General features: G+C 45.3%; 1 protein-coding gene across 41 annotated transcripts in view, besides 2 other annotated features; it reads left to right on the top strand.

The window, feature by feature from the left end:
• The window catches only part of ATP7B (ATPase copper transporting beta), a 79464-nt gene that overhangs the window by 56833 nt on the left and 10190 nt on the right, over window positions 1-12441 (top strand). For 27 of the 41 annotated variants that reach the window (NM_001406541.1, NM_001406531.1, NM_001406527.1 and 24 more), the window contains 5 exons: window positions 4901-5028; window positions 5139-5293; window positions 5504-5638; window positions 8822-9016; window positions 11009-11191. In NM_001406541.1, the coding sequence (NP_001393470.1) occupies window positions 4901-5028; window positions 5139-5293; window positions 5504-5638; window positions 8822-9016; window positions 11009-11191 (796 nt within the window). The remainder of the gene's footprint in view (window positions 1-4900; window positions 5029-5138; window positions 5294-5503; window positions 5639-8821; window positions 9017-11008; window positions 11192-12441) is intronic. The other 14 variants (NM_001406537.1, NM_001406547.1, NM_001406546.1 and 11 more) reach the window with 7 other exon arrangements.
• Window positions 9700-9799: an enhancer, noted in NCBI's record as "active region_7784". NCBI's record gives its function as "activates an Ori minimal core promoter by ATAC-STARR-seq in GM12878 lymphoblastoid cells {active_cell/tissue: GM12878}" and the evidence as "EXISTENCE:reporter gene assay evidence [ECO:0000049][PMID:35858748]".
• Window positions 9860-9929: an enhancer, noted in NCBI's record as "active region_7783". NCBI's record gives its function as "activates an Ori minimal core promoter by ATAC-STARR-seq in GM12878 lymphoblastoid cells {active_cell/tissue: GM12878}" and the evidence as "EXISTENCE:reporter gene assay evidence [ECO:0000049][PMID:35858748]".

The following is a 12441-nucleotide window of genomic DNA, read 5'->3' as shown; positions in this document are numbered from 1 at the left end:
TCTAGGCCTCCCCTGAGCTCAACCATTCTGTGCTTTGAGGTGCACTGGACACTGGTTTCCCAGTGACTCTGCCTCCCACAGGGCCCTCCCGCGTCTGGGCCTCTGCTTGTGCCTTTGGTCCATGGCACCATCTGAAGGCCCCCAGAGGTTCTCGCATAACTGCCCTCTTTGACTGAGGCTTGGGCTTCTTCCTCTGACCATCCCTTTGCTGGGGACACTTGTGCTTTCTCTTTACTCCAAGTCTTGGGTGCTGGCAGCGTTTCTAGGTGCGATCCGTCTGGCACACTGTAGTTTCCTTGCTGCTGCTGCTGCTTAGTCTCCATGGGCTTTCTTCTCTCCTTTTTCCTTGTGGATGGTCCTTGGGGTTCTGGTGGTACTGCCTCTGTCTTTGTGTGTTACACACCGTCACTGGGACGTCTCACTCTCCCACGTCTTTGGTTAACAGCCGTGAGAAGCTCATTCTCAAACCTACGTCTAGATCCCAGAGACTACCTGCTGGTTGGAGTGTTTTTCTTGGTTGACTGGTAAAGGCTCAGACTCGGCCTGTCTGTATTCTTCTTCACCTTCCCCCACTTTTTCCCCAAAAATATTCCCCTTCCTTGGTGCCTGTCTGTCTCAGGCAAAGGTACCCTCATGCCAGCTCCCAGTGTGTCCTCTACAATGCCTGTCTGCCCTCATTCACACATCTGCAGTCCATCCTCATGGTTCTAGCACCTCTGTCTCTAGGGGCGTCATCCACTGGCACCATGCTGGTCCAGGCCACTGTGGCCTTGCCCCTAAAACACCGCAGCTGTCTCTTCATACTGCTTGCAGCCATTTATCAATCCAGTATTTTTCCACATTCAAACCAGTGATCTTCCTGAAAGCACAAATTGATCATATTACAGTGCTTTCTGAAAGCACAAATTGATCATATTGGAAAATCCTTCAATGGCTGCATGCTGTCCTTAGGATCAAAACCACCTTCCTAACGTGGCAGTGAGGCCCGGCATCCGCCTGCATGCCTGTTGAGCCCAGCCTGTCTTGCCATCCCCTGCGTTGTGCTCCAGCTGCCCTGCACCACTGGCAGGTCCCAGGAAGGGACTGCCTCTCTCTGCAGACCTCTGCACACATCCTTCCTTCCCTCTGAACTCCCTTCTTCCTTAACCTTTGCCTGGCTCCTTGCCTTCAGGGCTCAGCATGGAAGTTGCATCCTCCAGAAGCCTTTCCTGATTCCCCAGGCCTGGCTCAGCTGTGGCTCCTCAGTGCTCTCAGAACACTCTGTGCCTCAGCCACCCTGGGATGTAAACATGGCGGGTGCTGAGATACTCACTGGTGGAATGAAACTGCTGTCAGATGTTAAAGAAACATACTGCACACATGCATGTGTGTGCTTGATATTAAAAGGCTTGCACAGCCCCATCCCCAGTCTCCCATGTTGAAATTTTCTGGTTTTTTTTTTTTTTTTTACAATTGATGGGGAAACAAATTACAAATCATATCTAGACCAGTGACCATAATGCTATAAGTTTTTTCTTTGTTTTCTTAACTTGTGTTTAATGAGGAAGGGGAGTAGAAGAGAGGAGACAAGTGAAGTAAACAGATTCCTGGCAGAAACTCTTAAAGATGAAGTGCTATGAAACAAACCACTGTCTTTTAATTAAGAGGGTTCCTATCGCTCAGCACTTGGAGAGGAATAGTAGCTTCTGAAGAATACATGCTATTGAGATTCACCAGTAGGAGCCACATTAACCCTCATAAAGGACTATTCCTTGTAAGCTGCTTAGAGTTAGAAAGATGTGGTTAATTTAGATCAAAGGAGAAATTCAAAGTTAGATTTAACAGAGATTAGCATTACTAAAGATTTCTTAGAAAGACACCCAACTGTACATTCGTGCCAATTTTAAGTCTCCTTACAGAAGTGGACATTTTAAAACTTAGTGATTAGGTTCTGCTGGAGGAGGGTCTGACCTTTAGTTCTTGGGGTCTTTCATTTCTAAATTGAATGCAGGGAGCTCCTCCTCCCGACTTGGGCTTCTCAGGCCATGTGGAGACCTCTGTGGGATGATAAATCCTCCAGGTTGTTCAGAGGGGGCCTCAAGGGCAATGTTCAGCCTGGACTTCTCCATCGCTGGAGGACTTTAAAATTAAGCAGAGAATATTCTTGGGTTCTCGAGATCCTTCCGTTCTCCTGGCTCACTCAGCCACCAAACAGATTTACACAGGTATACTCCCAGCACTAAAGACTTCAGTCTTTGAAAGTCTCCTTTTCAGTACTCCATTTATTTTGGTTGCCATGATTGAACTTTCTGTGTGTGTCTTAACTGTCCATCTGTGTGTCTGCTTTTAGTTATGAGGCTATAAACCTCCTGAGAGGAAGGCTCTACTCTGTCCTGTTTGTAACCCCAGCCTACCCTGGTGCCTGGTACACAAGAGGCCAATCAATATGAAAATGTCAATTAGGTGATAATAAAAATCACCAGCATTCATTGGGCACTTACTGTGTACAGGTGCCATACTAAGCATCTCACGTAATCACAGGAAGTAGCCACACAAGCCTTGAATCCTCGTAGCACAGAGACTGTTCCTGAACAATTTTTACAAAGGAAAATAATGATGCAAATATTTAACATACATGCCTGCATATGGTAGTTACTAAGTTTTATATAGTTGTACATAGCAACATTTAAATAAGTGGGCATGTATGTTCAATTTTGTGCCTTTCTAAGACATCTTCAGGTTTTGCTGAAATGGGGGTAATAAGACTCACCTTGTATGTGTCTGGGAAGATTCAGTGAGGTAAAACATGTAAAAATCTAGCACAGTTCCTAGCACTCAGTAAATGTCTATTTCTCCTTCTCAAGTAAGTAAGATGGCTTTTGTGCCTGTGATAGTTTAAATGTAGTCTTTGTAGAATGAAAGCAAGGTGTAAAATAACCTCAGAGCCCTGCTTGCTTTCCATGCATGCTCTTCTGGCTTGTTGACCATTAGCTCATGAGCCAGTATTACCTATACAATTAATTCTGTTGGGCCCATGCCATGCTTTTAGTGAGCTGCTGCTGAAGCTGGCCCTGGGCCGTAGGTGCCCTCCCTCTGGCTTTGTCTCTGTTCCTGCCGTCTTCTCCTCTCCCCCCGCAGCATCTCTGTCTCTGCAGGACATGTCCCACTAGCACACAGTTCACATGTATGTACAAGACACAATCCCCACTTTAATCCACCCTCCCTTCTACTGCTCTGTTTTTCTGTTCCTTCACAAAAGCCTTCTTTAAAAACGTGACTTTCGCTGTTGTCTTTGCCTTCTCACTGCGTGCTCTCTCAGCCCATTCTAGTTGAGCCTCTGCCTTTACCAGTTTCTGAACTTGGTTTGGCCAGTGCCATCAAGTAATTTCCATATACCCCAATCCAACATTGCTTGTGTTAAGTCCTCATTTCAGTCTCTCACCAGTATTTCCCCCTTGTCTGTTTCTTTGATTTTTTTTCTTTTTTCAATGTGTAACTCACAGTCACTGCAACACACAAACCCTACGTGTAGAGTGTGATGAATTTTACGTATATTTGCCCCTGTGGAACTACTTGTGCAGCGTTTGGTGTGGTTGGATGGGTGCTCCCTCCTCCTCCTCCTCATCCCCACTCTCATTTTCCTCCTGTGTCACTGGCTGGTCCTTCAGCTTCTGCTCAGCTTTCAGATAGTGGAGTGTCTCAGGGATGAGTTCTAGGACCCCTTCTGTGTTTTCTCCGTCACTCCTAGGGGCGCTTATATGATCTCATGGCTTTAAATGCTATCTACATGTGACAGCTCTCAGGTTTGTTCTCTACCTCTGACCTCTTCTTTCCACTTCAGACTCATATTTTCAGCTCCCTAGTTGGCATTTCTACGTGGAAGTCAAATAGGCATCTCAAACCCGACATGTCAAAATGAACCATTTCTCTCCATCCCCTCCCCTTCTCTTCCCTCACCCTCCCTTAGCTGCTTCTCCATAATCATCTCCATCTCATTAAATGGTTTCTCTATCCACCCAGTTGCTCAAAATGAAAATTTGGAGCTCATCTTTGATTCCTTTCTTTACCCTCATATTCAGTGCATTTTCACATCTTGTTAACACATGATCTAAGAATATGCTGTGTATTTCTTCTCCCTCTCTCTGTAGTCCAGGTTACTTCCATCTTCCGCTTGGGCTGCTGCAACAGCCTGACTCTCCCCCTCACTCCTGTGATCATCCCTACAGCCCATTCTCATGCAGCAGCCAAAGAGATCACTTAAATGTGAATCAGATTGTGTCACTTTCCTGCTAAAAGCCTTACATCCAAAACCCATGCTCTGCTCCAGGAGACTCGGCATGATCTGGACTCTGCCTGCTTCTCTGACCTCAACTTGCACGTCACTTACTTCCTGCCAGCCTTGCTTGCTTTCTTGCTGTTTCTCAGACGCACCCTTCCTGCCTGCCTTAAACCTTTGTGTCAGTTGTTTTCTCTCCGTGAACTTCCTTTCCGTGTGTGTTGGACCTTCTTGGCATGCAGGTCTCAGCTTAAATGTTACCTTCCCAGAGAAGCCCTTCCATGTCTCCTCCTCCCTCTGCCACTCTAAGAAGCCCTCCAGTCACATTATCCTTGTTTTTTTCATCACAGCACTTATTAATATTTAATACCTGATTCTATCTTGCTTGTTGTCCATTTCTACCACAGAACTTGTCTTCATGAGGTAGTAGGGCCTTTGCTGTGCCATTCACAGCTGTATCACCAGTGCCTAGAACAGTGCCTGGTATTCAGCAGCTGCACGATAAATATCTGTAAATGAACAGATCAAATGAATACTGTTGCTCAGTATAAGCAAATACAGTGTAACTATTGTAACAGCTGGCCTAGAACCTGACCCGGTGACCGAATGAGTGGCCATGTGAGTGATAAGTGGCGTTTGTTGCAGGGAGGAGCAAGTCCCCATGGAGCTGGTGCAGCGGGGCGATATCGTCAAGGTGGTCCCTGGGGGAAAGTTTCCAGTGGATGGGAAAGTCCTGGAAGGCAATACCATGGCTGATGAGTCCCTCATCACAGGTGAGATGGCTTGTTTCATGTTCCCTCAGGAGGATATCATAGCAGCTGTCAGGTCACATGAGTGCTGGATGGGGCTGAGCAAGTGACAGTTGTCTCTTTCCTACGTCTAGGAGAAGCCATGCCAGTCACTAAGAAACCCGGAAGCACTGTAATTGCGGGGTCTATAAATGCACATGGCTCTGTGCTCATTAAAGCTACCCACGTGGGCAATGACACCACTTTGGCTCAGATTGTGAAACTGGTGGAAGAGGCTCAGATGTCAAAGGTAATGAAGAAATTTTTAAAACTAACTTCATCTTTCTCGTTTTAGAAATTATGTGAAGAGTTCTGGGAAATCAGACAGTTTTATTGAGTAGAGATTGATTAGTAAATGTGGTTAAATGAAGGAGATTATCCCAATCTTTATCCATGCTTGTGGTGTTTTATTTCTTCATAGGTTGTAATTTCCCATGGTCTTGGTGTTTTATTTTCATAGGCACCCATTCAGCAGCTGGCTGACCGGTTTAGTGGATATTTTGTCCCATTTATCATCATCATGTCAACTTTGACGTTGGTGGTATGGATTGTAATCGGTTTTATCGATTTTGGTGTTGTTCAGAGATACTTTCCTGTAAGTTGAATGCCTTGGGCTATATGGTGGTTGTGTTTTAAATAATCTACTGACATTGATCCTGTTCTTTCATATCTTAGATTCACTGGGCTTTAATTATTCATTACATTTTATTTGCTTGCTTCTCTTATTGACAGCAAAATCTAAGCCAGAGTAGGATAAACAGTCACTCTCCTTCTGCAGGTTTCTATTAAAGATCTCCTTTACATTCTACTTAGATAATTTTCACAGACACCAATTGGTGCTCAGTTGTAATGCTTGAAGCATTTACAATATGTATTATTGGTCCTTTTTGAGGTTATGAGGCATACATCATAGAAAATAGTTCACTTTAAATCTCAATGGCATGATAATATTATTTAATACATTTTAAGAAAAATATCTTTTGATGTATATATTTACCAGTACCATCTTTGACCTCCCAGCTTCCCAAGTAATGTAAATAGCTTTTTATGTTTGTTTGTTTATTTATTTATTTATTTGAGATGGAGTCTCCCTCTGTTTCCCGGGCTGGAGTGCAGTGGCTTGATCTCGGTTCACTGCAACCTCCACCTCCCAGGTTCAACCAGTTCTCCCGTCTCAGCCTCCCAAGTAGCTGGGACTACAGGCACACGCCACCACACCCAGCTAATTTTTGTATTTTTAGCAGAGATGGGGTTTCACCGTATTAGTCAGGCTGGCTTCGAACTCCTGACCTCAGGTGATCTGCCTGTCTCGGCCTCCTAAAGTGCTGGGATTTCAGGTGTGAGCCACTGCACCCAGGCGTGAATAGCTTTTTATAATAGTTAAATATTTACTAAACATTGTATGTGAGGCAATGGAATATACATTTTTGAGTTTAAAAAAGTGGTTGAAGAACACTATCTTAGGAAATATGGTTTTATTAAACCTCAGAAAAAGAAAGGAAAATACAGGCCACCCCTCAAAAAAACATATCTGCTTGAGGAATAAAAGCTATATTACATCTGTGATTCTCAGTTGGCAGCTGTGACATTTTCGGTGTTTGTGACTGGGGGGATGCTGCTAAACATCCTGCAAGGCACATCACAGGCCCTACAACAAAGAGTTATCTGGCCCCAAATGTCAGTAGCACTGAGGTTGAAACCTTGATAATGTACTTAAAAAGCTAATGGCACACTTAGAACAGTATTTGGTAATGGCACAATGAGCGGAACAATGTTTTTACCTTATCTTATTCCTAGCCCAGTCTAGTGCTTGTTATACCATAGAGCCATAGAATGAGAAACCATACTGGGTGTGGTGATGCACCTGTAGACTCAGCTACTTGGGAGGCTAAGGCAGAGGATCATTTGAGTCCAGGAGTTTGAGGCTGTAGTGTGCTATGATCGTGCCTGTGAATAGCCACTGCACTCCAACCTGGGCAACGTAGCAAAAAGTACAAATACAGAATGGATAATTTTTTTCTTTTAAAAAAAATCCTTCACATAATTAAAAGTATATCAAATATTCTCAGGACACATGTCATTTACTAGGATGTATTTTCTCCCTCAAATTTCCCATCTTAAATTGAACAATGTTCAAGTTAAACACTTTCTGACATCTAAGGAACCTCAGTGCTCTTAAAAGTAACTTACAGATATATTGGTAGAATGTGCCTGTGGCTATCCATGGCACCTGACTGCCTATAATTTCGGCTTTTTCGGGAAAGCAGTGCGTTGGCATATGGCCATGGGAAGACTCAGTCCTAAACAAGTTGGAATCTGTGGCTTTCTGCTGTTCCATGCCTTTCCATCTTACTTTGGCTTCTTTTGTTTTTATCTGCAATATCAGGGAGGATGCTGGCAAATGAGGTACTGCATGTTCCTTTAAGATACTGTCATCTCTCTGCTGTACAAAAGTCATTGTAGAGAAGGGCTCATGGTAACTTCCAGAAGTCCACCCAGTCCTATCAGAATGCCAGGTGTGATTTTGACAAGAATTAGTGTATTTTTAAAAAAGATTACATAATCTTTATGTCTAAAAATCTTAATATATCCCTCTACCTAAATATAACTGTTTCTATGAAAATTAAAAGACCCCTTTAATAATACATTATTTTAGAATCCTGCCTTTCAGAGTGAAATAATAAAATGTAGATGGAAGCTAAAGAGGCTGTGGTCCATAGCCTTACCTTAGACAACTGTGCTTTTTACTATAAGTAAGTGAACATAGTATCTCTTGATTATACTCCATAGCCACCAGCCATTTTTAAAAATAAACCAAGATAATTCAAGCTCTCAGAATGCAAATAATACCAAGTGTCTGGAAAGTAGGTCATATTTTGTTTGTTTTGGGTACAAAGAAAAAATAGTGAAAAATACAGAGAAGAAAATAAAGATACCTCCAAATCATATCCCTAGAAGTAATTTTTTTGCATATTGGTGGATACCTTTCCAGTATTGTTGAAATGCTGTATTCAGATACAGGCGGAGATTTTTGCACGAATAAATCCCAGCACATGCGATTTTGTACTTGCTTTTTAATTTTGCAGTGCTGCTGGTACCTTTCCATATCAGTATGTTCCATCATCATTCCAATAGTTGCCTCGTATCCCATTATATACATCACACCTACAGTTTAATTAACCAATTCCGTATTGGTTGTTTCCATTTTTTATCATTACAAAAACAAAACAAAACACTGTGGTAAATATCCTTGCATCTTTTCTTATTTATATGATTATCACCTTAGAATAGCATTTTTAAGCTTTCCTAATGATGAGAAAAATAACGATAATAGTTACTGTTTCTTAAATGCCGCTCCTATGCCAGGTGTTATGTACTGTGTATATTTATATGTTTATATGTGTATTGCCTCATTCAATCCTTGCCACAATTTATGAGCTATGCATTATCATCTCCATTTTGTGTATGAGGAAACCAGGATCTGGATCTGTGTGGTCCATCTCCAGAGTCTGCTTTCCCCTATCAAGGGCTTTTATTTGACTCTGCTCCTGTAATGCCTCTTTGAGGGAAACCTGTAGGATGAAGTTGGATAGCTGGGATGTGGAGAGCAGTAACGTGTTCTCTATGATGGCAGAGCAGTGTGGAATACCATCTGTTTCCGGAACCCAAGTTCGTCACGTTGTGTCCAGTGCCCCCCTGAAATGTCCTTATGTGATTAGAGTTCTGGGAGCTTCCTTATTGAACTCTCAACCTGCCTCTGACTCTGTCCTGTTTTCAGAACCCCAACAAGCACATCTCCCAGACAGAGGTGATCATCCGGTTTGCTTTCCAGACGTCCATCACGGTGCTGTGCATTGCCTGCCCCTGCTCCCTGGGGCTGGCCACGCCCACGGCTGTCATGGTGGGCACCGGGGTGGCCGCGCAGAACGGCATCCTCATCAAGGGAGGCAAGCCCCTGGAGATGGCGCACAAGGTCAGCCTGTAGCACGGCTTTCCCCATCCTGAGAGATGAAAGTAGTATCTGTTTACTATTTCACATTGAGAGAAAAGCCTGAGAGCCACTCAAGACAGCAGTGTTAATTACATAGAATAGGAAGTCAAGTATAACTGGGAATAACAACAGTAGCAACAGAGTAGCCACCAGTCATATAATGGAACGCTTTATCAACATTACTTGATTTAATTGCATTAACAACTCTGTGTGGTAGGTGCTTATCATTCCCATTTTACAGATGAGGAAACTGCAGCAGGAGGAGATTAGGTAACTTGACCAAACGCCTGCAGCTAACCAGAGGCAGAGCTGGGATTCACACCCAGGTAGCCAGGCTTCAGGACAAAAGCCCCACCGTGACATCTGTGGGATTAGTGGTGGGTCCTGTGACCCTGGGGAGTGAAGAGTGAGTGACGGTGTTTGTGAAGAGTCTTCCTTTTGCCCAACTTACTAACCTCTGGCCTTCCACACTTTCACCTATTTAATCAGTATTTGCTGGGCACTCACTGCGTGTGAGCCCTGCACTGGGTTCTGGCGATGGTCATGGTTTCCAGCCGCCAAGGAGCCCACCAGGGGGAAAGACAGACAGTGAAAAAGTAAATAGCAAAGCTGACTGAGTATTACGAGATACTGAGTATTGACTGGTGGTGCTTGACGTCCTGGGGACACTTGAACAGGGGCCAATCCTAGACTTGGGGTGCTCGACTCAGGGACAAGGGTGCTGCAGGTGGTCAGGGAAGCGAATACGAACGTTCATCTGAGACCTTACTGTTGAGTGAGAGCTGGACAACGGAGCTGGGGAAGAGTGTTCCAAAATGGGGACAGAAGGTGGAAAGCACCTGTGGAGGTGGAACTTCCCCTCCCCGCGGTATCCCCAGCATCTAACCTGAGACATCAAGTGCATTCAGAAGTTATCTGTTGAATGAGCAAATGAGGAACTGGAAGAAAATCATTGAGAGAGAGGAACCAGAGATGAGGCCGTTGAGGGAGGGGCCAGAATCCAAAGGCTGAAGATTTAGTAAAGTGTTCTGAACGTTAGCCTAGAAGCCACGTAGGGGATGGCATACCCACGTGATGTGACTGGATCGTGTGTTGGGAAGATCATTCCGGCTGCAGTGTTAAGGTTGCGCTGAAAGCTGGCAAGAATCCCTGGAGGAAGATGAGTTAAGTGTGTTGAAGGAAGGAAGGCCACCGCTCAGCATCAGAAACAAAAAGCTGAATTATTGTTTGCTTGTAAGGGAGAACCCTGCTTGTGGGACATGGTCTGAGAAGAGCAACCTGCTGGCCTTAAATGGGTAAAATTATACACTTCAGGAATTACTGGACTTTCAGAAGCAGGGCTCAGGGCTCGACTGGCCCTGGTCATGGAAGTGCAGGTACCTGAATGTAGCTGCTGCCCATATCTGAGCCCAGAGGTGTGGGGACTCTGCAGACTGCCATTGACTAAGTGTGACCAACTTAAAACTGGCTCTGGGGGTTTGTTTGTCATTATGGCCATAGAATAGTCCTTTCCTTTCTTGAACTCAGAGTGTGAGGACTCTATTCCCAGTAGCTTTTGCACTTAGGCAGGCAAAAGGAAGCTGAGGTTGGGCTCGGCGGATGGCAGTGGACAGGGAGGCAGGTGTCCCTCAGGGTCCTGACTCCTGACCTGATGTGGGGGAGTATGTGGATGGTGTCACTGTCTGGGGGACAGTGCTGTGCCATCTCCTGTACAGCCGACTGAGGGTTTCTGGCTTTGCCTGGTCAAGGTCAAGCCTCAGTGTGGCTGGTTTGACTGGACACATAGGGAAACAGTTTCTTTGCAGTGGGAGTTGTTGAACCCTGAGATTGAACGACAGAGGATCACGTTAGGAAGCTGTGCAGGTGTCTTGTTTCCTGTCTGAGGCAGGTTGGGTGAAGTTCTGCCTCAGGAGTGTGACTATGGAAGCCCCTCCATCTGTATTGTGGTCAGTGAGTTGTGGTTGTTTTTGGCAGATAAAGACTGTGATGTTTGACAAGACTGGCACCATTACCCATGGCGTCCCCAGGGTCATGCGGGTGCTCCTGCTGGGGGATGTGGCCACACTGCCCCTCAGGAAGGTTCTGGCTGTGGTGGGGACTGCGGAGGCCAGCAGTGAACACCCCTTGGGCGTGGCAGTCACCAAATACTGTAAAGAGGTACGTGGACTTGGGCGTGGCCCTGCCCTCCCCGCCAATGCTCTTTTATTCCTCACCATGTCCTTCTCTCCTAGCTGCCCTCGAGGAGCCTTCTCTGTGTGGTCTGGAAAACCACTTAGAGGGCCCTTCTGCAGCAGGCGGAGATATAGGGCTCACAGTCAGCCCTTGCCACAGTTCCAGGTTATCACAAAGGGAGTTCAGTGTCACAGGCATTTGCTGAACATCACCAGGCGCCAGGCTCAGGAGAACAACAGGAGTGGGATATGAACTCTACCCTTTGGGAGCTCACGGTCTTGGGGAGTACGGGCAGTCTGGAAACTCAGTGCTTTGACAGTGCTTAGTGCAAGGGGACACAAACATGAAATGGGAGTACTGGGGTGGAAGGGAGAAATCTACTCCCCTGGGAGCACCTGGGACAGAGAGGAACCAGCAGAGGTGAGCCAGAGTGCCCAGCAGGTTCCTGGCACTTCGTGGAGAAGCATTGCCTTCTTTTGGTCTCTCCACAGGAAAGGTTCTATTTTGTTTTCTCTTAATTTCAGTCTGAATATAGGGGCAGCAGAACGCGTCACACAGAATATTGCCCTGACAACTTTTAAACAGCCTGAGCAATACTGTTAGCAGTAAATGTAGAAAGGTGACATCATTGCCTTGAAAAACAATTGACAACTCTTCCTGATCAGGGGCTCTTCCAGAAACCTCATTTCTAGTTTTGTCCTTCATGTAGGGTCAGACAGCCCACTCTTTCTCACCTCACCCTTCTGACATTTCAGGGAGAATCTTGCTCACCCTCAGTCATCCTTTATTTGTTGTGTGGTCTGGAAAACCGCTTAGAAGGGTCCTCTGCAGCAAGTGGAGATGAGGGGCTCACAGTCAGCCCTTGCCACAGTTCTAGGTTGTCATAAAGTGAGGTCGGTGTCACAGCCATTTGCTGAACATCACCAGGCGTCAGGCTCAGGAGAACAACAGAAGTGGGATGTGAACTCTACCCTTTGGGAGCTCACAGCCTGGGGGAGGACGGGCAGTCCAGAAACCCCAGCCATTCCTTTACCCTGCCACCTTGTCCCCTCCTCCTCCAGGGTCTGATATACAGGCAGTTATCTCTTGATAGTCTCAAAGAGCTTTGTTAACACTACTTATTCCATTGTTTTTAATGAAATTATTTGCAACATAAAATTCACATCTCCCTCTCTTTGGCATCTGCAGTCCTCTTTAATTTGAGGTGTTTGATATGAGTTGCCTTTTTCCTTTCC

The sequence above is a fragment of the Homo sapiens genome, chromosome 13 (genome assembly GCF_000001405.40).
Source record: "Homo sapiens chromosome 13, GRCh38.p14 Primary Assembly".
Lineage (NCBI taxonomy): Eukaryota > Metazoa > Chordata > Mammalia > Primates > Hominidae > Homo > Homo sapiens.
Note: the sequence above shows the minus strand (reverse complement) of the source record. Positions and strands in the feature narration are given on the sequence as shown.